Source organism: Homo sapiens, chromosome 17, assembly GCF_000001405.40.
Source record: "Homo sapiens chromosome 17, GRCh38.p14 Primary Assembly".
Classification (NCBI taxonomy): Eukaryota; Metazoa; Chordata; class Mammalia; order Primates; family Hominidae; genus Homo; species Homo sapiens.
This window is the reverse complement of record NC_000017.11, coordinates 14,134,316-14,160,983: the sequence shown is the minus strand read 5'-3', so window position 1 is coordinate 14,160,983 and position 26,668 is coordinate 14,134,316. Positions and strand designations below refer to the sequence as shown.

Genomic DNA, 26,668 nt, shown 5'->3' with positions numbered 1-26,668 from the left:
AGCTTTTAGCTCTTGAGATAGGTTACAGACTTTGCATTTTCCCCTCTAAAACAGATCTACCCAAATAAAAGTACTTTTGACAGTTTCTAAACCTCAAACACACCATATACCTTTGTTTATATTTCAGAAAAAGGAAATAAAATATCAGTAGATGTGAGCTTTTTGTTCTTATATCTTTTCATCTGGTTCTATTGCCCTTTTTACTATAATGATATTTTAAATTCATTGAGAAATGTCTAAAACCAGCTAATATTAAAGATCATTTCTGCATAGATTAATCTGACTGCATATACACTTGCTTCCTTTATTATTTTACTTAAATATGTGTGATCATTTGATTCACAAGTGTTATCACAATAAATTTTAAGCTCCATGAGGGCATTGCCTGGAAACGTGAAGAAAGAATCCAGTGATTTACATAGTCAGTATAAACCATTTGGCCCTTTTTATTCTTCTAGGCTTGTAATATATATTAGGTTAAAAAAAAAGTTTTTTAAATGCCGGTTTAGAGGTCTCCAGGAAGTAAAATGTTTAATTATTAACCATTAGTGATGTTAAAATATTTATATGCCTTTTATTTCTACTTAATTGCAACTGGTGGAGAGTGATGGAGGCAGTACTTTACTTGGCATACAACAGCATTATCAGTTTATCTGAAAAAGTAAGATTTCAGACATATCCTTCTTCTGAGACCCTAGATGGATTTGTCTGAAGATCATTTGCGTTAATGCAATGTTTTTATCTTCAGCCACTACAAATGAAAGAAAGTCTATGCTTCAAAGTGGAATTAAAAATATATATATATCACATAAGTTACTACCATAAAAAAAAACCCTGCCACTCTTACATCCATCTTAAGTGCTTTGTAACACACTTTGGTTAGAGGTGGAAAGTATTGCATTTCCATATCACTTTGTTTCTTTGTGGGTATTTTATTTCCACTTCGCAGCTCAAAGCAAAATAGTGGGAAATGATTCAGATGAACAAGCAAATGAATGTTTTATAATGTGGAAGACACTTGTATTCGTGATTTTACCTGATCTGTCCACGAACCAGCGGTCTGTTCTTTGTCCTATTCATGTTTGAGTCAAATGGCACCTCAAAAAACTGTAAAAAGAATGAAAAAAGACAGAAAACATTAACTATAAAACAATTCTTTTCTTCCGCTTTAGTACTGAACATTTTTTCTGTAGTAAACTTCATTTTAATTTCGATAGCATAAATCAATACCCTGGCACTTCTTGAAGAAAAATTCCAAAAAAACAAACAAACAAACAAAAAACCAAAACAACAACAATAATTTGCACTAGGTGTCAGGAATATCTACTTTTATCCACTTTGAAAATCACCTGTTAAACATACAAGTAGCCAAGTCCCTTGGCATATGCAGACAATTGGCTCTAGGACCCCCCATGTGTGGATAACCAAATCCACACATACTCAACTCCCGCAGTAGGCCCTCCAGAACCTGCCTATGAGAAAATGTGGTCCCTCTTTAAGTTCAAGTTTCACATCCTGCAGTCTGTGTTTGGTTGAAATAAATCCACGTATAAGTGGACCCACACAGTTCAAACCCATGTCATTCAAGGCTCAACTGTATAGTTTCAGGTTTGAAGCATTAGCGTTGTAAATAATTTCAGAATCTTTCACACAACCCAAAGCCTGAGAATCAACCAAGAATCAACTGACCCTGGGGAATGGGCTACTGATGTAAAGAACCAGGGCTGACGTAATTAAGATCTCAGAGATCTCAGATGAAACTGAGGTTATACTGCAATGAAGGTAATCATCCTATTCTGCCCAGGATAGTTCTAATTTACATCTTGGTGCCAGCATCATTAACAGCAACCTCTCTCACTCTGAAAGCATCCTAGCTTGGACAATAGATTGGTATGGTCATCCTAACAATGAAGTACAGTTTTAATTGTTTACCTATTAAAAGACAAGGCCCAAGGTATTATCAAAACTAATTTTCCAAAGCCTTGACAAACTGTACAAGTATGTTCTTAAATTTGTTATTAATGTCTCTTACTTGTCTCCTTTTTTGGTAAAACAGAGTACTCAAAAAATGTGCTGATTAGGTTATTATTTAAGAAATCTTTGACTAAATGGGCTAGAACCAAATCAACAGACGAAACAATAATTCAATGGAAGGCTGAAGTCAGTACTTCCCCAGCTATGTTCCCTTACCATCCCCGGAGATGCTCCCAGGAAGAACGACTCTATGGTCAAATCATATGAGCACAATAAAATCTCTGAGAAATCCCAAAGTGAAGAAACCAAATTAACCTTACTTTAGGCAGTGTTTCCCAAATTTATTTCACCATGAAACCTTTTTTCAAGAGAAACGTAAGTAACAGATTTCAGAAATTCCTGGTCTGACTAGATTTGAGTGGCAGGGATCATTTCTTACTTATGTCTGTATGAATCATAGCTCTTTGTAGAGTGTGTTGTACTCAATATGTGTTCTATAAATATTAGAAAAAAATAAACACTAGTGCTAAAAAGACAAATAAGTGACATTCTATTTTATTGTACTTTTACAAGTCATCTAGTATGATTTACTAAGAAGTATATGTTAAAAATGAAAGAAAATTTATTCTGAACTATTTGAGAAATGTAGAATTTTTCCCCATAAGTTTGGGACATCTGGTAAGTTGTGTTCCCTTTAATTTTGTAAAAAACTTTGACATATGTTTCCTTTCCCCATATCCTATACTACAAACTACCTACTTTTAATTTTTTTTTTACGATGTCTTAGTATTCCTAAACACAATGACATTTTCCAATACGATTATTTATTTTTTTCTTTCTTCTTTTCAGGTTACTATAGTCACTTCACTCACAAACTCTGAGTAGTTACCCACAGTGAGGATTCCCTGTCATTCATAGTAAGTATCTACTAGCCCTAGTCCCTCACACTTGGGTCATAATGACCATCCAGTTACAGCTCATTTAACCAATGGTCAGGTACCTGTGATTCATAGACCTTTAAAATAAAACCACATACCAATAATGATAACCACCACTATCCCCACAGCATTAAGAGAGCATTTGTCATCTGTAATTATAAGAATAAAAGATATTCTTCTCTTGATGGCTAACCTTTATGAAGGATGGGCTACACATGTTAAGCATTTTACATGCATTGCAAAAGGAACTGTCTACCAAGCCTGAGTTTTCAGAGCTTCCTGGGCACTGCTGCAGCCCAAGAGTGTGGCCGTAGTCAGAGTAAGAAACTAAATGTCAGGAGTCTGTATTGCCTCACCTGCTCTACCTGAGGCCATGGCTGCATGAGAAGACCCCAGATTAGGAAATGGCAGTGCTCACTCTACAGGTGGCTTTTTTGAATTGGTTTCTGTTGGAAGCAACTGTGGCAGTTGCAGTTTTTATCGACTGCAGCATATTCCACTTAATGGATATACCATAAAACCAATCCCATAGAGATGAACAGGCAGGTTGTTTTTCATCATTCTATACGACAAACATCCCTAAACATGCATCTGCATATGTGTGCAATTATTCTTACAGGATAAATGCCTAGAATGTTCCCCTCCTTTTGAAAACAGTCCTGCCTTGACTTGAATACACTACTTAAAAGGGGTTCTCCTAATTCTACATTCTCTCAGTGCTCCTCTTTAGGCTCATTATTCAGTCCATACAATTTCCTTAGTGTCTACTACACACCATACAATGGGGATACAAAAGTCAGTTAGATTCAGAACCTGCTTTCAAGAAGTTCTTACTCTATGCAGTATGCAGGTGTCGGCAAACTGTAGCTCATGGGCCAAATCCAGCCTGTACCTGTTTTTAAGGCGCACAAGCCACTGTCTTTTTATATCTCCTTAATAATTGGGAAAGTAAGTTAAAAGAAGATTATTTGTGGCATGTGAAAATTATATGAAAGTAAAATTTCAGTGTCCATAAACAAAGTTTTATTGGAATTCAGCTACACTCATTTGCCTTAGTATTGCTATGGCTGCTTTTACACAGCAGCAGAGCCGGGTAGTTGCAACAGAGACCACATAGCCCACAAAGCATAGAATGTTTACTGTCTGACTCTGCGGAAAATGTTTGCCAACCCCTAATCCACTAGAAAGACTGAGACAAGAGAACCCGGTTAATTATAATCACATGTGCAGTAGAAGGACAGAGTTGTGCAAAGGATTATGGGAGTCCAGAGAACGGGCTCTGAACCCAGCTAGGGAGACAGAAAAGGGCAAGGATGATTTTCCTCAAATACTCTTCAAGGGAAGCTTAAAGGCTGAGCAGGGCTAGATGGTTAAGGGCATAGGGTAGGAGGGACAAGCACTCCAGACACAGAAGAAGCACAAACAAATGCGTAGGAGGCAGAACTTTGATGAAATGCTGGAGTACCTAGCAGAAGTTCAACACAGCAGACTGATTAAGAGCCTAGTCTTGTAGCTAGAGAAATTAGGGTTAAATTTCAGATTTAGGCCGGGCACGGTGGCTCACGCCTGTAATCCCAGCACTTTGGGAGGCCAAGGGGGGCGGATCACGAGTTCAGGAGATGGAGACCACCCTGGATACATGATGAAACCCCGTCTCTACTAAAAACACAAAAAATTAGCCGGGCGCGGTGGCGGGTGCCTGTAGTCCCAGCTACTTGGGAGGCTGAGGCAGGAGAATGGTGTGAACCCTCCCGGGAGGCAGAGCTTGCAGTGAGCTGAGATTGTGCCACTGCACTCCAGCCTGGACCAGAGTTAAGACTCCGTCTCAAAAAAAAAATTCAGATTTACCATTTAATAGTGGCTGTGCAACCTGAGTAAACCTAATTTCTTCATCTGCAAACCAAAAATAATAATATATCACTTGTCAGGTGATGTAAGGATTAAGATAATGTACATAAGGCATGATGCCTGGCACACAGAATGTACTTACTGAAGATCAGTTTATTTGCTATTATCATGAGTGTTGCTGGATGGCTGGTGATGAAGCTCCAGAGGTAGACAAGGGTCACAGAGAGCCTCACGTGCCATGCTAATGTGCCATGACTCTGCTGTGTACGAGGTGTATTTTGGATTGATCCCTATGACTGCCACTTGGAGGATGATTTTGACAGAAAACATCGTAAAGAAGCCCAGGTAAGAGATGATGAGGGCCTGAACAAGGGCTGTGACAGTGGAGATGAAGAGGAAGCAACATCTCCCTTTCCCCCCAACACAATGAGCCTTACCCAAAGTGCAGACCCTAGCCTTCTGTGTTCACTCTCCTATCTTTTGTTTTCTTTTTTTTTCTTTTTTTTTTTGAGATGGAGTCTCACTCTATCGCCCAGGCTGGAGTGCAGTGGCACAATCTTGGCTCACTGCAAGCTCCGCCTCCTGGGTTCACGCCATTCTCCTGCCTCAGCCTCCCAAGTAGCTGGGACTACAGACACCCACCACCACACTCGGCTAATTTTTTGTATTTTTAATAGAGACAGGGTTTCACCGTGTTAGCCAGGATGGTCTCGATCTCCTGATCTTGTGATCCATCTGACTCGGCCTCCCAAAGTGCTAGGATTACAGGCGTGAGCCACCGTGCCCGGCCTCACTCTCCTATCTTTCAATAAAACCACTACGTGTGCAGCCCCATCTTTCTCCTGGGCTCCAATTCTGTAATGTCACTTGATTGCTGTTTTTTTTTTTTTTTTTATGTAGATGTTTTAACATCACAAACTCAATGTGTCTCAAATTGAATTCAACACATTTCCACGAAAATCAAAGTGCCTCTCCAGATTCTTTTTTTGTTAAACATACAACTTCTCTATAACCCATGTCAAAATCTTTAGAATCGGCTCTGATTTCTTCCATGCATTGGCCAACTATATCTAATTCATCACCATATCCTGATTATTTGGACTTCATAATATTTCTCAAATCTACCCTTCCTGGTTCACTCTACTATTGCCACTACTATAGAAACATCATCAAATTACTTGCTCAAAAACATTTAATGGACTTCTCACACTGCTCATTCCCAATGGACCCTGAAAAGTCCAAATTCTTTGAAAGTTATTCAAAGGCTATCACTAATCTAGCCCTAACGCTACTTTCAAGCTTCTCAATTACTTTATTTGTATCCCCTGGTCACACTCGCCACTATCTCAGGAACAGAGCAAACTGCCCAAGGGAGTTGGAGACTCAGCCAGTTTCTGACCCTGGGGTTGAAGAAAATAATATCGGAAGCCTTAGTTTCCTCAGCGGCAAATGGGAATAATTTCTCCAACAATTGAAGTTACTATGAGGATCTGAAAAGACAGTGTAAGTGATGGACTGTAGCACATCATGCACTTCTGCTCATTTCTCACCTATGTCTGCATCCGTTGATTAGACTGATGTTCCTTGAATCTTCACTTAACAAACCCAACCCATCCTCTTAAAACTAAGTTCAAATTAAAATACCTAAACTGAAGCCTAAACTTCTGACTTAAATGTTATCCCTCTCTCCTTTCAATCCCCATGGCACTTGTCTGAACCACTTAGAGGTGTGTGGTTGCAATTTATGTGAATTCATATAAATTGCAAATAAAACAAACACTCATCAAGAATTACATAATTTAAAAAATAGCAGGTCAAGTGAATAAATCTTTTATAATTTTACAACATAGCAATGTCACTCTAGTCGGTATATAAAAACACAGATTATCCATTGTTAGAGCCAATCTCTTTTTAACAGTCATAACTTCATTAAGGTATAATCGACATGCAAGAACCTACACATAGTTAAACTATTTACTTTGGTAAGTTTCAACTTATGTATTTACCCATGAAACGCCCACCAATCAAGATCCTGAACATATTCAAATCACCCCAAAATGTTATGTCATGTTTCCCTGTAGTCCGCCTCTTCCACCCAACTCACAAGCTTCTTGTCCTCAGGCAGCCACTGAATTGCTTTGTGTCCCTAGAGTACTTGCATTTTCTAGAGTTTTATGTAAATAAAATGGACTCTTTTTGTCTGAATTTTTTACACTCCGAATAATAACTTTTGATATTCATCATCTTGCAGAGGGTTTCAATAGTTCATTCCTTTTTATCGCTGAGTAATATTCAATTATATGGTAGTATCGCAGTTTGTGCATCTTTTTACTTGCTGATGGATATTTGGTTTTTGGATGGATATCTGGTTAATGGATATCTGAATATTTCTAATAGTTTTTAACTATTACCAAAAAGCAGCTATGAACATCTGTGTGCAAGTCTTTGTATGGACATATGCTTTTCACTCTCAAAGCTAAACACACATATATCATATAGTTGAGGTGTTTAAACTACTTAGGAAACTGTCAAACTATTTCACGAAGTGGTTGTGCCACTTTTTCATTCCCACAGCAGTATATGAAAGTTCCACTTCCAGGTTTTGGTCATGTTATGTGGTAAGGACAAAGTGTTTGCCAAGGACAAAGAGAATAGGGACTGGCTATCAGAAGAAAGTGGTTATAAATACCAGCAATGACCCTGTGATCAGTTGCAGAAATGAGGACTAGAACAGTTATAAATGCTTTTTTCTTATTTTGATAGAACTGTATTTGTATACATGAATCAAACTTTTTATTCCTCTCTCCTATCCTCCTGCCATTTAATGTAAAATATGTTAACAGTATTTAGACTCATACTTCAGTATTTAAGTTATGCAATATCAAGGAGCTTGAAGAGAAATGAATGGCACCTAAAGATGAATAGAGACTTGTCTTCTCTTTTGGGGAGTAAATTAGTGATTTTTTGGTTGTAAGAGGGAAAGTTTTACTGTGTTTGGCATAAAACACGATTCTGCTATCACCTTATTTGGAAGTTTAGTACGGCTGAAAGATGTATCTGACTGCCAAGCTGACAAGGGTGAACCATGATGGCTCTGTGTTGTGTCAATTTAGTTAATCCAGAACTACATTGCCCAGAATCCCCTTTCTGTACAGTTTTAGGTTAGGGCTGGCCAAAAGAAGCTTACGTGAGATGTGGACGTTGGAAATGAAGCAGTAGCCATGCTTACACTTGGAAAATTGGCATAAGGTCAGGTACTACAGTGGAGCACACACAATTGTGAATCTGTTGGCTCACACTGTTGGCCTGGAGCAGTGCTGGGCCTGCAGCTTCTGTAGCTCCTGCCAGATATCCTTGGGTTGCAGCTGATCCCCGAGCTTTTCCAGCTTCTTATCATCCTGGGCCAAGTATGTGTGCTGCTCCTTGGTGGAACATACAAGCTCTTCTGTAGGTCATGTGCATCATCAAAGTCCGATGTTTAGAAGTGGCAAGGACAAGAGACAGCCACGTGGTCTAGTTTATTCTAATGAGTTTTAGGTGGTCCTCACAGATTCCAGGTTGTTCTTGCTCTCTTCTACTTCCCTTACAGATGGCTCTGCTTTTGTCAGGCCCAGAATTAGATACTGGGGCAACAGCCTCACAGATTGCTTAACTCAAAGGAATGCATAAGGTCTAACCCCTACATCAGCCTGATATGGTTTGGCTCTGTGTCCCCACCCAAATCTCATCTTGAATTGTACTCCCATAATTTCCACGTGTTGTGGGAGGGACCTGGTGGGAGAGAACTGAATCATGGTAGCGGTTTCCCCCATACTGTTCTTGTAGTAGTGAATATGCCTCACAAGATCTGATGGTTTGATAAGGAGAAACCTGTTTCACTTGGTTCTCATTCTCTCTCTTACCTGCTGCATGTAAGATGTGCCTTTCACCTTCCACCATGATTGTGAGGCCTCCCCAGCCATGTGGAACTGTAGGTGCAATTAAACCTCTTCCTTTTGTAAATTGCCCAATCGCGGGTTATGTCTTATCAGCAGCATGAAAACGGACTAATATACAGCCCTTATATCCTGCATAGTGGTTCTGACATTCTGATCAAACTTTGACTGATACAAACTTCTCTTACTTTCAACAGAGCCGCTGCTTAAAGGTATTTAGTTTTTCAGTATATTCATGTTATCTAACAATCTAAATGGCTGACTTCCTGAGATATGTGAATTCATAATTCTTAATGTTAACAGGAAATGGTATAGTAACATGCAAATAGGCACTCAATAAATAATTTATTTAATAAACCATCATTGCAAATAAACATACCTGCAGACTGCACTAAATTATTTTAAAATGATGTATAATTTATATAATGTGTTGAAAAATTATTAGCCTGTTAGAGTCCATATTCTTTATTGAATTAGTTGAAGTTACATGTAATTAAAAGGTTCTGCCTGAACATTCACATTCCTTCCCTTCCCCAATATTCAATGTGTAAGTATTTGGAATAATCTTTCCTCATGACTTGATATATGTACTTTAATTGAATTTCATGGGATGAAAGAGGATTCCAATTACAAATCAAGTGATTTAAATGCTTGTAAGGTGTTACCTAATTTAACAAATAAACTCGTGGTTAAGTAACTATCTTGGCAGTTCTCGTGTGTGTGTGTGTGTGTGTGTGTGTGTGTGTGTGTGTGTGTGTGTGTTAGTTCAGGAATTCTAATGCATCATTTCATCTGGATGAAAAAAGATACTGTCTTTTCTATGTTTCTAGCACATCATCCATGGAAGAATAGAAATAGATAGCAACTGGACTCCAGGATGCCATAACTTGGCAGCAGCATCTGACTCCCATGAATGCTTAAATTTTGCCGGACAAGCAACATCTGGGCAAAAATACCATGCTAACCAAGACTCATGGTTCATTTCAGTGAGGGCCCAGCAATTCTTCCTAGCACCAAGGGATCAGAACTCATGCTGCTACTTGATTCTGTTCTTCATGCATTTACTATAATGCTTTCAGTTAGGCTTACTGCATTGGTTTAGATACTTAAACCACATTTCCTAAACATAAAGCATTGTTTATTTCAATGAGCAATTTAAACACTTCAACAGTTATTTCAGAACCTATATACAGCTGGCTTTAGCCTACTCATTTTTTTTTTCCTGTGCTTTATAATAATTAGTTTTTCATAATGTTATCATTTTCAGTTGGTTCCAACTACTTCTGAAGCAGTGAAGTAAAAACAATGGCAACTTGTGCTGACAACAAAAGACAAATGCAGTAATATCAACCCTTAGAATATACTGTTTGGCCCCCTTTTTCATATACCCTCACTACTTCAGAGAACACTGAAAGTAATATGCTGTAGTAAACAGAATTTGGGCAGCTGTCCAGGTCAAGCTAATTCTGTCAGGGACCAGTCTTGTACTGCACCTGCCTTCTTCTAGTTGAAGGCTCTTGTTCACGGTCTCAAATGCTAAAGAATCCAGTACCTTACACTGCTCCTGGACACAGTGATTACTGAGTGTGTTATCTGATTCAAACTGGGCCAACTGAAACGTCTTTCCCTGGAACTATACAAACCAAAGCCCCAGAAAACATGCCCTCCTTTCTCTTAGTTGTCTATGAACACAGAATGGGATACAAGGGAAGTGAGGGAAAGGCTGGACATTAATTCCAATGGTCAGGTTACCTCCAAGGCCTCTGCCCTTTCCAGTTGAAATCAAACCTACAACGGTTTGACTCCTTTAACCTCCAACATCCTAATACACAAAGACTGTGAACATTTCAAACATTAATATTGCACGGAAAGGAATAACACCTTTTCTTCAGAAAACAACTTATTTTCTGACTAGGTTAAATTTTCAAAAGAGGTTTTCCTCTCAGTCTTTCTTCATAAAAATCCACCAATCTTTTAGAACTCTTTTCACTGTAAACTTTTTTTTCCTTTTTTTTTTGAGACAGGGTTTTACTCTGTTGCCCAGGCTAAATACAGTGGCACAATCACGGGTGGCTGCAACCTCTGCATCCTGGGCTCAAGGGATCCTCCTACCTCAGCCTCCCAAGTAGCTGGGACCACAGGTGCATGCCACCAAACCCGGCTAAGTTTTTGTATTGTTGGTAGAGATGGGGTTTCACCATATTGTCCAGGCTGGTCTCAAACTCTTGGCCTCAAGTGATCCACTCGCCTCAGCCTCTTAAGAGTGCTGGGATTACAGGCGTGAGTCACTGTGCCCGGCCGTAAACTTTTCCTTTTTTTCTTCAGGTTCACTTCCCCACCATCTCCCTTCCCAATCAGTCATATCCTCCCTCACATTTATTGCTCTCTGGCAATCCTGTGATCTGTTATAGTACTCAGGCTCTTGGGATTGCAAGTGATAGAAACACAACTCAAACTAGCTCAAAGGAAAATGGGGCTTTATTATTGCTTATAACAGGGTTGTACCTGCTTTCAGGAAGGACAAGATTCAGAATTTCAAATGATGCCATCATGACACCGGCTCCTCCCATCTCTTAAATTGGCTTGGTTTATTCCTGCATGCAGACTTTTTCCATGAAGCAGGCAAAATGACAACAGCAGTCCCTGCCTTCCACACTCCTAGCCACCCTAAAAACTAGTTTATTTCTGCTTAGCTCCAAGAGAAAAGTCCAGAACCATCACGGCCATGAATCATCATGGCCAAGGAATGAGGTGACTATCCTGTGAGCACGGGGAGGGTGCTGGTAGAGAGACACAAAGACACAGTATCGCCGCTAAAACACATATACTATTTTCTCCATAGCAAAGGAAAATTTTATTACAAAAAAGTGAGAAGATGCTCAGTAGACAGGTGCAGTTAAATTATTTATAATACACTGTAAAGCTAACCACTTCAAATCATTTCATTTCATATACATCATACCTACAAAATTACTTGCCTAGAGTAGAAAGGGTATTCCTAGTTTAAGTATCTGAAGGGCACTAATTGATATAAACATAGTAAGTATTTATATTAATCTTTGTCTCATAATTGGTTTGGGAATCAATGAACAGTTCTATTTAACAGAGTAGTAAATGGATCTTTCTTTTTCTCCTCATACTCACATGACAAAAATCTAGGGCATGATTATACCAATGGATAAATATCTATTAGACACCTATTATAACGTTTGTGCTTCCTTATTATACATATTTTTATGTTAGTGAATATTAATTTTAATATATTATAAATATATTGTTATATATGTTATAGACTAACAATACATTTTATATTATAAAATATAACGTTATATTTTAATATAGTATATATAATTACCTAGTAATATATTAAAATATATTATATTAATTCTAATTATATATTATCCAAATAGTTAATGCTCAGATACAAAATACACTTATTAATCTTCCTAACAGACAATATATACTTATGATACTATTGAACTCTGTGAGCCAAAATGACACAGATAACAAAAATGGATAGAAATACCACAGCCCAACTGATGTACTTCCTAGTCCTACTTTGATTAATTACATCCTATGCAAAAGGCAGATGTATTCTAGAGATGTCTGTAAGTTAGGCTCAGAAAATACTGAATTTGACAATAACTTTTTCTTCCCCTACATTAAATAATGGTCACAACATTCTTCTAGAGAGTCAACAGGAAAACAAACATGTGAACCTCGTGGGAGTTTGTTTTTCCATCCATCTTCTCAACGCTGTCAACAAGTGTTTGTCATTCCAATATGGCTCACAGCTTCCAGGGTTCAAGACAATGTCTCGATCAATCTCAGACCAAGTTAAAAGGGATGTTAAAAACAAAAAAAATAAAGCACAGGGAGAGGCACCTTATCCAGCAGGATTCCATGTGCCATTACTTTCAGCTTACAAATCAGTAAAGACACCCAGTCAGCCATTACTCTCTGGTTACCAATTCTCTGTTGCCTTACCTAGAATAAACAAACTAAGTAAGACTCCTTCCCATTGATTTTCCCCCATGAGGCATTTGAAATAATGAATGTGTGTGCTCTGGCATTCATCAGAAGTGGCTTTTCACCCAATGTGGTGACTGGGGCAATGTTCTCCTCTAAACAGATTACTCAGGCCCTCTCTCACTAGGCTGGATTTTAAGGCTTCATCCTTAAAGGAGAAAATAAAGGATCTAAAAGGTCACCTAGCACTTATCAGAGGCAAAGTACCACATCCTACAAGTAAAACACTCAGAAACTTAAACTGGTTTTTACTAGCTCCAAGAATCACTGTATGGAACTGACCCCTTTTTCCTTCCAGAGAGATCTCAGTTTGCAAGCAATGCTTTCTGAAAAAAGATGGAAGGAGAAAACATCAAAATATTTACAATCCTTGTCTCTGGATAGTGAGAGGGAAGCTGATTTACTATGCTTTACCTTTTTGTAATTTTCAACTGTCTATAAAGACCCTGTGTTTTCTTAAAAATTTTTTTTAAATTGTTTTAATTTTTATAGGTACGTAGTAGGTACATGGGGTACATGAGATATTCTGATACCGTCATGCAATGTATAATAGTCACATCATGGAAAATGGGGTATCCATCCCCTCAAACACTTATCTTTTGTGTTACAAACAATTCAGTTATACTCTATTAGTTATTAAAATGTACAATTAAATTATTATTGACTATAGTCACTCTGCTGTACTATCAAATACTAGGTCTTATTCATTCATCCTATTTTTTTGTACCATTAACCATCCCCACCACCCCACTACCCTTCCCAGCCTCTGGTAACCGTCCTTCTACTCTCTATCTCCATGGGCTCCATTGTTTTGGTTTTTAGATCCTATACATAAGTGAGAATACGCAATGTTTGTTTTTCTGTGCCTGGCTTATTTCACCTAACATAATGATTTCCAGTTCCATCCATGTTGCTGCAAATGATGGAATCTCATCCTTTTTAATGGTGGAATAGTACTCCACTGTGTATAAGTACCACATTTTCTTTATCCATTTATCTGCTGATAGACATTTAGTTTGCTTCCAAATCTTGACTATTATGAACAGAGCTGCAACAAACATGGGAGTGTAGATATCTCTTCCATATACTGATTTCCTTTCTTTTGGGTATATACCTAGCAGTGGAAGTGCTGGATCATATGGCAGCTCTATTGTTAGTTTTTTGAGGAACCTCCAAACTGTTCTCCATATTGGGTCTACTAATAATTCACATTCCCACTAACAGTGTACGAGGATTCCCTTTTCTCCACATCCTTGCCAGCATTTGTTATTGCCTGCCTTTGGATACAAGCCATTTTAACTGGGGTGAGATGATATCTCATTGTAGTTTTGATTTGCATTTCTCTGATAATCGATGATGTTGAGCATCTTCTCATATGCCTGTCTGCCATTTGTATGTCTTCTTTTGAGAAATGTCTATTCAAATCTTTTGCCCATTTAAAAATCAGATTATTAGATTGTTTTTCCTATAGAGAGTTGTTTGAGCTCCCTATACATTCTGGTTATTAATCCCTTGTCAGATGGGTAGTTTGCAAATATTTTCTCCCATTCTGTGGGTTGTCTCTTCACTTTGTTGATGATTTCCTTTCCTGTGAAGAAGCTTTTTAACTTGATGTGATCCCATTTGTCCATGTCTGCTCTGGTTGCCTGTGTTTGTGGGGTATTACTCAAGAAATCTTTGCCCAGGCCGATGTCTTAGAGAGTTTCACCAATATTTTCTTGTACTAGTTTGAGGTCTTAGATTTAAGTCTTTAATCCATTTTGATTTGATTTTTGTTTATGGCAAGAGATAGGGGTCTAGTTTCATTCTTCTGAATATAAATACCCAGTTTTCCCTGCACCATTTATTGAAGAGATAGTCTTTTCCCCAGTGTATGTTCTTGGCACCTTTGCTAAAAATAAGTTCATTGTAGGTGTGTGAGTTTGTTTCTGGGTTCTCTATTCTGTTCCATTGGTTTACGTGTCTATTTTTATGTCAGTACCATGCTGTTTTGGTTACTATAGCTCTATACTATAGCTTTGTATACTATAGCTCTTTGGTTACTATAATTTGGTCAGGTAATGTGATTCCTCTAGTTTTGTTCTTTTTGCTTAGGACATCTTTGGCTATCCTGGGTCTTTTGTGGTTCCATATAAATTTTAAGATAGTTTTTTCCATTTCTATGAAGAATGTCATAAGACCATGTATTTTCTAGTCAGGAAAAAAAGATAATAAAAAAATTCTACCAAAATGATACAAAATATGGCAGACCCTCTTTAGGTAAACTAATAAAGTATTACTAAAGTGAGGTAATATAAAACCAACATTAACGGAGCCTTAGTCAATTAGAAACTTTCTTTTCTCCAGAAAGTCGGAGGAAGGCAAAATGTTGATCCAAAATATTTCTCAAATACACCCATTTTTTATTCCTATCATCAGTGCCACTTCCTTAATTCAGGCTATTTTATTTTGCCTAGATTACAACAGCCCCCTGACTACTTCCCCTACCTCCAGTATTGATCCTCCCCTAGTAACTTTTCACAGAATAGTCGAAGTGATCTTGTCAGATGCAAATCTTATCATGTTACTTTCTAGCATAAAACCCTTCCATGGCTGTCCACTGTCCAAGGAATAAAGTTAAATGCTCTAACACGGCTTACAAAGCTCTTCATAACAGCTCTTGCCTCCTTTTACCTCTCTAGGCTCTTTTCTTTCTTGTTCTTTACCTCTTTCATGCTGTACTCTAAGCATTCTGAGCTACCTTCGGTTTCTCAAGGAAAACATGCTTTCAGGTCTTCACTCACTCTACCCCATGGCTGTCAAGACCCATCACAGCATTGAAACCACATCTACAACTACACAGGGCTTATTAGTTTTTGCCCTAATATTCTACTTTTCTCTGTGCATGTGCCTAAGCAGTGGAGCTATGCTGGAAAAAGACACCTTATAGGACAAGAGGATTCATTACAAGTACACAACCACAAACTTCAAATGTGCTCTCTAGTCAACTCAATCTGCTTCTCTCCACAAGGATTTCATATCTGGTCCACTCTCAAGAATCTGATGTTTCTACACAGCGCCCCCACCCACCCCTCCCTGCCCCTCCACACACACCTATAATACAGGGCACAGCCTTCTACTTTATTGAACACTGAAGTCCTCAAACAGGACACTCCCTCCTTTTCCTACTATCATCCCTACCAGTGTGTACAGCCTCTTCTCTCCTAACTTTAGGATTACCTAAGGACTGGTAATCCTGTCCCCTTCCACTTTCTAGGAAATTTATTCCATCAATTACCCTTGTCTGTATAGCACGTTTAGCCTGTTGTCTTCTAACTGTATTATTCCCATTTGTACCTAACTGTGCTCAGTTTTGCCCCATCCCAACCCCTCTCCCAAATTCCACAAATCTCACAGCATCATTATTTGATTTTAGCACAAGGTTAGCATTTGGGAGAGAGAAAAAGAAAAAAAAGAAAAAGAAAAGAAAACTTTGAGCTCACATCGTAGCCAGCATATTTAGTTAACGGGGGTATCCAGGGTGGAGTTAAGCTCTTTCTAAAATCTCCAAATAAGCTCAAAGGAATTTCTACTCTAACAGCTGCCAACGGCTACAATTCCATCTTTGCAAAAACTGTTTTAAAAACTGTTCATTCTTAAGGCCAGTTTTCAAGAACAATAAATAAATGTATTAAAGCTCACTAAAAACTTCTAACGTTAACAGACTATTTAGGTTGCAAAATTAAAAGAAAACCAAACACCTTTCAAACTAGGACTTAAAAGATCAGAAAATTTTTCATCCACTAGTGCTCCTTCACCACAATCTAATATGAATACAAGACTTTCATAGTTAATAAATCCTTGCAGATCCCCTCACAATTATAATACAAAATAGGCATGCTTACTGACAACATTAACAAGGAGAAAATAATGTGACAACAGTATGACCCTGGAATCCATTCTCTAAAATACTACAGAGTCGAAAATGCCATCATTTAAAAACAAACAAACAAAAAACAAACAGAACATGAACATTTACTGCAGAAAAATGATGTACTCAAAAAGAAAAGGTTATACCACATACTAATCAATAAAATTGGCAAATCTACAGAGGTCCAAACACAGTTATAATATACATCTGGTCACAACACGGTGGGGGTGGAGGCCAGAGAAATCATTAAGCAACCCGAGAACTCCCAAACAAAGAAACTGTAAAATTCTGAACTATAAAGCAAAGGAAACACATTAATCCCTCAGGAGTTGCAGTATTTCAGCTGGGTTATCCCTTCTCTTGGAAGGACACAACAATTCACCAAAACCTACAGTGACACAGTATCTGCACTGTACGCTTGTGGGCACAAAGCCAACTTGCTTTAGCACTCCTGACACCTGTTGGCTTAATCATCAGCAAAAGCAAGACTCTATACAACAGAGAGAAAGGGAAGGAGGGAAACAGAAAGGGGGAAACCAGGGGCAATAGGGAGAAAATACGTCTCATCCATTTTGCCTATCAGAGAACACAGAGTACACCTTTAAAAGACAGTTGCATATGCTTTTGATAATGTTCAACGTGTTGAAAATGTTCAATAACACCCTGAAAGATTTACACGTTTCCTCTAAGATTACAGTTTGTTTTTGAACTTCAGATCCTACCCAAATGACAAGAGAAGTGATTTGGTCAGAGAGGAGATAATAGCTTTCTACTATATTACCTAAGCAAAGCGACTTGAAACCTCTCTTTAACGACTCTGTTTGTTCCATCTCTGAGATGCTGTGTTGGGAGTACAAGCAATTATAGTGCATTTCAGCTTAGGTAAAATTGCTCTACTGCCCATTTTCTCCACAATCCTGAAAGACTTTCTTATCAATTCCATAAATGTATTTTAAAGTAACTTAAAAATCTTCATGTTTAAAGAGTATATGTTTTCAAGCAAATACATAACAAAATGTGCTTCTTTATACATTTCAATGGAAGAAATTGGAATGATAAATGAAAACAATGACTATCCTATTAAAATAATAATAAATAGTAAATAATGGTATTTGCATTAAAGGATAAAATCAGTACCCGAAATACACTGGGACATTTTCAAAGAGGTCTTAAGAAGACAACACGGGAAATATGCATCTATAAGACAGTTGTTAATTTGAATACTCCTGACAGCTTTTTACAACTGTTCCTAGCTTTTCTTTCAACCTGATTACTGGCAATGCCTTTATATCTAATGGTAGAGTTGGACCATCCACATGATAGAGGGACCTAGAGTTCCTTTGCTGAAAGATGTAAAAAGGCTGAAAATTCTTATAGCAGGGTAAGACATTTGTCATGCACAGTGGATAGGATATTGGGTAATTCCCCAGAACCCTGAAAAACTGAAGTACATAGCTTCTTTCCTGAGAGGCCAAACAAAAACCTGTAATGTGTTGCAAGCACAGTCACCATGTCCTGAAAGAGTAATACATGATCTTACCACCATAAAGAATGAAAAAGATAACAATGTGGTCCATCTATGGAAGAAAAGATTTGATATACACACAAAATATTTTCAGTTCTCTTTTTAATAGCAAACTGGGAAGAAATGTTTGCTTTTCTATACATAGATAGAAATTCCAAATTATTAAGAGTTTCCAATAAAGAAAAGATATAATAGAGTTCAATGGTTCATTTTGAGTCTTTCAATGGTGCTTTATTTTTAAGGAAAAAAAGAATTAGTTAAAAATGGCATAAAGGGAATTTATTTCTAACTCTTCTGCCAAATACCAATTTAACTCAGAAAGCAGGCAAATATTTTTAAATGCTCATAAATAACAGTAGTTGATGTGTGACTATGATTTTATTAGCATAATTATGCAGCTTTAGATAAATGGCATTTGGTCATTAAATCCCAATATTAAGAGAATTACAATAGATTATGTATTTATCGGCTGTCTGCCTGTGTCACAGTTTTCTGTCTCAGACACAATTCTTAAAATCCAGAAATACATATGATTTTTCCGTGTCTGCACAACTATCTGTGTAAAGTAGCATCTAGTTTTCTGACAAATATGAGTTAAAGGAAGAGTGTTAATGTCTTAGTAAAATACTTCCAAAAAGAAAAGGTTTTAATTTTACTAACTAGATTTGAGTCTTGAATACTAGTTTCTGGCTAGTGGGAGGGCAGGTTTTCTAATAAAGAGGCGCTTACTCCTTATTTGAGTGACAACAGTGCAGGTGGGCTTGACATAAGCAATGACGATGTTAAAATCATGATGAAAACCTGATCCCGGAGAAATTTTGAACAACACTTCAAGACAGAAAAGACATTTTAAAACTTATGTGAGTACATTTCCAATCAGAGATTTTACTTTAGAAATGTCATATGGACCACAATTCTCTATTTAGTACAATTCTATATTTAAAAAATCTTCCAGATCATATACTGCTACTCTTATGCGAGGCAGTGAAATTCTAAATTATATGTGGCAAGATGAAACATTAAACAACAATCATTACCACAACAACAGAATTCATAACAAATGAAAAGGTAAATGGACTCTTTAAATATAATGAAATCTGCAATTATATAAAACAATGTTAGATAATAAATGTCTTTACAAAAAAAAGTCTGTAATGCTAAATCATCTGAGACTTACTACATGTATTTTAGCCTATCCAGTTTACAGTGACTTTTATTCCACAATGAGAATAGACTGAAATACTCCTAATTCTTATAAAAGGTAGTCTTCTTTTTTTTTTTTTTTTTTTTTTTTTGAGACAGGGACTGGCTCTGACACTGAGGCTGGAGTGCAGTGGCACCATCTCAGCTCACTGCAACCTCTGCCTCCTGGACTCTATGCCATCCTACCACCTCAGCCTCCCAAGTAGCTGGGACTACAGGCACGCCTAGCTAATTTTGTATATTTTGTAGAGACAGGATCTCACTATATTACCCAGGCTGGTCTCCAACTCCTGAGCTCAGGCAATCTGCCCACCTCGTCCTCCCAAAGTGCTGGGATGACAGACGTGAGCCACTGTGCCTGGCCGATGTAAGAGGTAGTCTTTATAGGTATAATACAAATAAGGAAAGTCACACTGGGGAGGAGGAGTGGAAATTTTGTCAACTGGCCTTTAATAATAATTATTTTCGAACGGTTTCAGATACAAAAGTGAGATGTAAAACAGATAAATTAACACTATAACATAATTAAATTAACACTATAACTTTAACACCGTAACTCATGATTACGCAAAAAAAAAATCCTAGACGATATCCATGTATGAATTCTGAAATGTATGAGTAATAGCAGTAGACACTAGTTTGTACCAATATAATTTTTCAAAATGATAGTTTTAATAATTCAATGTATTAGAGGCATCATTTCCTTAATCATTTATCATAACGTGATGACTTATTAATTCTGTTAAAAGCTTTTTTAAAAGAAGATTACCACAAGTCAAGATTCTGAAAGCTTTGCAACAAAAAAAATCAGACATAACGTTGCAATTAAATGAAGAACAAGCTCATTGAAGATTACTGATCACATATATTACATGCTATTTAATAATCTAAATCTTATATTGCCTTTTAACAGGTCGATGAGGTTACTATTAGAATGTAAAATGTTTAACATGAAAAACAAAAATATAAACAGGAATATGAAAGTAAGAATATAGTGTTTCAATATCATTTATGAATGAAAAGGAAAAATGTTCTCATGAAAGACAATAAGAAACTCTAAATTTAATGAGTTTAGTTTATCTCTAATAAATTCCACTTCTGAAACTACATATTAAGGAAATACATACAGAAATAGAGGAGAAAACTACATGCCAACCATAAAAAGTATCTACTGTAGTTGTTAACAGGTATGATTGGAAGAAATACTAAAGGAATGATTAAAATGTGGTAAACAACTTGATAGAATATGAGGCAGTCATTAAAAATGTTAACTAAGATTACTCTGAAATAATCTGGAAGAATGCCTAAAATACTAATATAATTTACAGTTTATTATTTGTTTCAGAGTGGTAGGTCTATAGTTTTTTGTTCTCTTGTCAAAAAAATCTTATTAAAATAAAAAGGAGATGAATCATAAACAAATAATAAGTATAGATAGATGTGGCTACATGCTTTCAAAAAGATTTGCACATGGTTGGGAAATATTTTTTAAAATTGAATGTTACATTACATTTTCCAAACCACATTAAATCTTTCATGCTTTCCAAAACACATTGGGAATGTAAAATTTTCATCACAAACTCTTTTGAAGGTTAGTTTGAGGAAGAAAGTTCCTTGTAAAGATGGCAATTCAAATAGACTTACAAGAGAAGCCCTATCAGAAAAGGTTTCTTTACTGTTGAGTGCTTTTCAGAATGACATTTTCTATGGCTTTGTTTATGGATAGCTGCAGTTCTCCAGGCCTACATTGCTCAGAATTTTTGTTTTATTTTTACTACTATTATAGCACATTCTAATTTTTCCAAGAAGTTACAGACATCTAGTACAGCAAGACAGGCAATCATCAAACACTGCAAGCTGAAACAATTTTGGATACTAAATACTGGAGTCAACACAGGGATCCTTCCAAGTATAAGGCTTCAAATATGCCCACCTGTATTTTTTCCTCTTAATACAGTGATGGTTATGAATGAAACACCTAAGCTCGCAATCACTATGCAACTTTTATACCTATTTATTTTATTGCCAAGAAATCCCGTTTACTTATTTAGGCATAGGAAAGGTGTAGCTAGGTTATTTCATGTGAAACTTTCTTACGAAAATTTCAATAATAAAATTATAAAACCTTTATTTTTGTCAGCTTTCTACTTGAAAAGTAGTATATATTCTCAGCTATGGGTTTAGTTTAGTGATTAAGGCAGTACATTTGCTCTAAGTCCACCAGCAAATTTGCTATAAATAAACAATTCATTAGACAGATACTGGCTAATATTATGAGCGTTAATTAATGTGTTAGCCTCTCATGATAATCATTCATAATTTTATTAAAGCAGGTGAAAATCTATAGCTAGTTTAGTAACTGGATGACTATAACAGACATGCAAAATATTGAACACCAGTGCCTTTTTTATATTGATAAAAAAAAGACTAGAGCAATGCACCAACTTACTTTTTATAAAAATCAAGAACAATTTACTACCATTAGTTACTATTTACTAAGGGCTTACTATTACCAAGCCTGGGCTAAGTTCTTTTGTGTATTATTTCATGTAATCCTCACTGTAACCCTAATCAGGAGGCATTATCATTATCATCATTTTAAAGATGAGGAAACTGAGGCCCAGACAAATAAAGTAAATGATCGAGGTCGTACTGCTTGGATATGATCCCAGGCAGTCTGTCTTGAGTCTCCGTTGCTTCGTCACTACTGAATACACCACACAGCACTCCGTTGCTTCATCACTACCGAATACCCCACACAGCACACTACACTTGAGCAAGAGACAATGCTGGGATGAGGAGACAATCAGGCAGTGTAAGACAAAGACCTTGGCTTCAGCTCAGGGTCCAGCTCAAGAGATAAGACACTTGTTTATAAAATAATAGGAGGCAGTACAGTAAGATCTATAGAAATGCAAATTATAACTGCTAATTATAAGTTTAGAGAAAGGACCGATTATGAGTCTGAATACCATACGTCCAAAATGTGGCCCACCAGGCACTGGGGTACAGGACACCTGAGCACTTTTCACAGAAATCTATGTTTACTTATATAGCTAGCACTCAAGAACCGGTAGGGCTGACCCTTCACAATATAAAATGGAAACTTAAAAAAACATTACTCTGGCTACCAATACAGTGGTTGCCATTAGGAGGATACTATGGAGAAAACATTTAAAATGATTTTGTTCTTTTCAACAAGGACAACCAGCATGTTTATCTTTAGTGGAATTGCTTATAATGTACCAGATACAGTTTCAATGTCTGACAATGTGGGCTAAGTTAATGTAAAGTTTGGCTTATCTGTAAAATGGCACAATACACAATATTCTAAAAGCCCCTTAAAAACAAATAATATTTAATGACCTGGAAAGTCCATGATTTGATATTAAGAGAAAATATCAGATTCTGACATGTCATATACAGTATGGTGTCTATTTGTGCATGTGTGTATTATTGAAAAGAACTGATCAAGAGCTACAAGCCAATATATTATAGCTGAGTGACACTATTCCCTTTGTAAGGAAATTTTATTCATGTGTGTCCCTTTAATGACGACCACATTATGAAATATTTCAAAGAATCAGAATCAGAGTAAGAAATTTGGTTGATTTTAGTGTAGTAAGATTGCTAGGTTGTAGAAATATGGTAAAAAAAAAAAAAAAAAAAAACTGAATTGTGTCTGCCACGTAAGAACATTTTGGAATTAAGAGCTCTGACAGAATCACAAAACTCTATCTGAATAATGACCTAATCTGCATGGAAAGAAAAACCAGGAACACAGGCAAAGTGTTGAAGGACATGAAGACTAATCTAGACATAGAAAATGCATTCAATAACTGGTACCCTTTCTAGTCTACCTTAATACTATTTATTTTTCTACCATTTATTAGTTTACTATTTTTAAAGGGATTTGTATTAGATAGTTGTTAAAGCCTATATATGAGTCGGAAATCCTAATCACACTCTTTTAACAACACTATTCTTAAAATTTTGTGTATGAAAGCATTAAATATATAATAACCCACATGGGAAGAATTATTTTTATTCTCCTACCTCTGATCAGCATTTTAAAAAGAGATGTAAGTATTTACTTTCACTTAGGATATGTTAATTTCTAAAAAAAGAATGACTGGGTTAAAAAGTATAAATATTTTTTGATCCAATCACTCATACACATACTGTACACACTATTATATTCTAATAGTTTCTCATTTAAGACTCAAAAACTTTCCATGTCATTAAATATCATCTGGAAATGCAATTTCTATGATATTATATAGTGTTACATTATATGAATAAAACAATTTACTGAGACCACTTTTTCTATATTGAAATAATATTTAATATGTTTATAATATATAAATATATTTGCACATATTTTGATAATTTAGAAAAAAACTTCTAGAAATGGAATTACTGGGTTGAAGAAAACATGTTTTTAAGAATTTTAAATTATACTTCTAAAATTTCCCTTCAGAAAGGCACTCCCAATTTAGTTTCACCAACAGTGAGAAGAAGGCCTGCCTTCTAGCATCCTCACCAACTCTTGGTAAAACAATTAAAAAAACACACCACCTAAAAACATCTTTACCCATTAAATTCCTCACCACCTCACACAGACTTGGCCTTCTCACTGATTTTAAAAAAGAAACACACACAAAAAAATTGTTAGGACAGTCTAAGTAAACTTGAAGTTTTAATGAAAAATATAAACTGACAAATAACCAAAAAGATTTCAATGTCAAATGGAAACTAAACACTATAGCTTTTACTTTATGAAAAAATCTAAAGATTTAATAAAGTGTTGATTTTAGAGGAGGCAATTATCACATGCAAATATCTTTATGAACAGACTAAAACCATACATGTCCATCTTTGTCATCTTCACTATAATTAATTGCTAACATTGGGAGGCAAGCTGAAGTTCTTGTTCTGCTAACCTTATAAATAAGATGATTTAAAAAAAAACCTGCCATAAAAATGTATTTTGAGGTCAGAGATTCACTAAAAGTTTTGAAATGTACATACCAAAGAAACAAATAAGTACAGGATTCAAACGGCCAAAGTCTCAGCCGTGCTTTATGGCAAGAAATTTCCTGAAACATCAGTATGTCCCACACAAGCCAAATGTCAGTCTGAGCAAACTGGAAATGAATGGAAAGCACATCTAGGCTTTGTTTTGCTAATAGAAAGAAAAAAGTCTAAAAAAAGGTATGTATAATTACTTAGCTTTTCCTTAGAAGGATGCCTGTTACTCAAAACTCAAATGAATAAGTCACACTTCATTTTTATGTCATCTCTGGGAAATAAGATGTTGCATACAAATGAATTTTCTAGATTAATGAAGTAATTTTCTTGTTTGCATACCCAAATATTAATGAAATTGAAACCAGTTTTGATGGAAATATTTCTAAAATTTCTCGTATTTCTGAGCCTTCAAAACAATTTACTGAATATTATTTCATCTCTTTCCCAATGAATGACTCAGTGTACTTGCTGTCACATTAGATTGCTCAAACTCCTTAGCTTCTTAAAATCAATCACCTTTACATTTTCTTTGTTTTGTTTGATGCCAATGTTCTCTTCCTCTCTATCTTCGTCTCTAATCCCCAACTTACTATTTTTAATTTCTTTTGTCATTATTTAAAAGGAAAATTAAAAATGCCTGAAGAAAACAAAATCCAAACAACTTATTTGATGAAACACAACTATTGACAGAGCACTTTTTGGTGGCTCTCAACTTGTATTCCAAGCTCTTTTCTTTGCTACTCAAATGCCTTTACTTTTCCTGAGTTGCTGGCCATGAATTTGAAAAAGATTTCAATTGCAGAGCACAGGTATTACTGAATTGCAATGTTGAAATCTAAAAATTCCAATAGGTTACGTAGGAAGACTATGAAAAAACAGTAATTCCATATTTGAATAAAAATTTATTTTTGGAAAACAAAACGATGTTCTTTATACACATTTAGAGTACAAAATCAACACTCTATTGCTTCTACAATACAATGCTAAAAAACCTCAATATTAAGTGTTTCTCAAAGTGCAGTTCAGGGTTCATCTGCATCAAAATCTTCTGCAGTCCTTAATTATAAATGCAGATCCCTGGGTCTCACTTCTGACCCAAAGTAGAATATCCGGGAGTGGAGACAAGCATCTGCATTTTCAATCAGCTCCCCAGGTGATTCTTTATACACGGTAAAATTTGAGAACTACCAACCTAATATCTAAAATCAGTAATATGCTTGCTAAACTAATAATAAACACATTTTCATTCATAACAAAATAGCTATATTAGTTCCAAAGAAATTTTATAATTAAAATATTGGTTACCAAAATTATTCAAAGATTTCAACTTAACAACATCTGTATAATACCCAGATAAAGAAAAAGATTAAAATAAAATATTTCATTAGAACAAATAAACTACATAAGAAGCAAAGAGAATACTATATAAAATTTCTAAATGTTTTACCTATTCAAATATGAACAGCTCTATATAGTATGAAGCTTCATGCCTACACTAGAACAGACATCTCATCATATATTTATTAGGCTAATTTTTAAGATAATTTTTATATGCATCGTTATATACTGTTGTCTTTTATTCAGAATAAAAGAAAAAATAGTGCTATGCTTTGGCCATTTAGACAGACTCAAAAAACATTTTTAAAACAAAAAGTCAACATCCTGCTTGTAATATTGTACTATACAGTTCTGCAACGTTACCAGTGTGGGAAAGTAGGTAAAGGCTACATGCAATCTCTCTATATTATTTCTTACAACTGCATGTGAATCTATGAAGATCTCTAAATAAAGAGTTTAACTTAAAAAAAAAAAAACACCGAGGGCAATTAATTTATCCATGTCTAGTCAAAAAACTACTACCTTAAAAGGCACACTTTCTGCTATTAAAGTTAAATAGCAGTGCTGTTTTTTAGCTTACTCAGCTAATTACTTTTGAAATCCTCTCCAAGAGTGTGTTACACCACACATATTCTTTGGGAACAAGTTTGATCTCCTTTTATGTGCTTGCTGTCCCTTTTTGGAGGTGAAAACATCTGTGTCCCACATACAAAGCAAAATTAGGCATCTTACAGAGTTATTCTGTGCTCTGAAACACTATCTGACAAAGGCGGATGCTTTTCATCTCCCAATGTGAACAACCATTAAAATACTTGTAAGAACTCAGTTAATTTTTTCCAGAAAACAAACATTTTCTAACATATATGTTGTTTACTGGATTTCTTGATGATTGAAAAAAAAGCTGATAGAAAAGATAACTTTGTATTTTTTATCTCTT

General features: G+C 36.0%; 1 protein-coding gene across 1 annotated transcript in view; it reads right to left on the bottom strand.

Moving 5' to 3' along the window:
- Positions 1-26,668, bottom strand: part of COX10 (cytochrome c oxidase assembly factor heme A:farnesyltransferase COX10) — a 139,174-nt gene that overhangs the window by 47,694 nt on the left and 64,812 nt on the right. Inside the window, exon 5 of the mRNA NM_001303.4 lies at positions 1,037-1,107. Within this exon, the coding sequence (NP_001294.2) occupies positions 1,037-1,107 (71 nt within the window). The remainder of the gene's footprint in view (positions 1-1,036; positions 1,108-26,668) is intronic.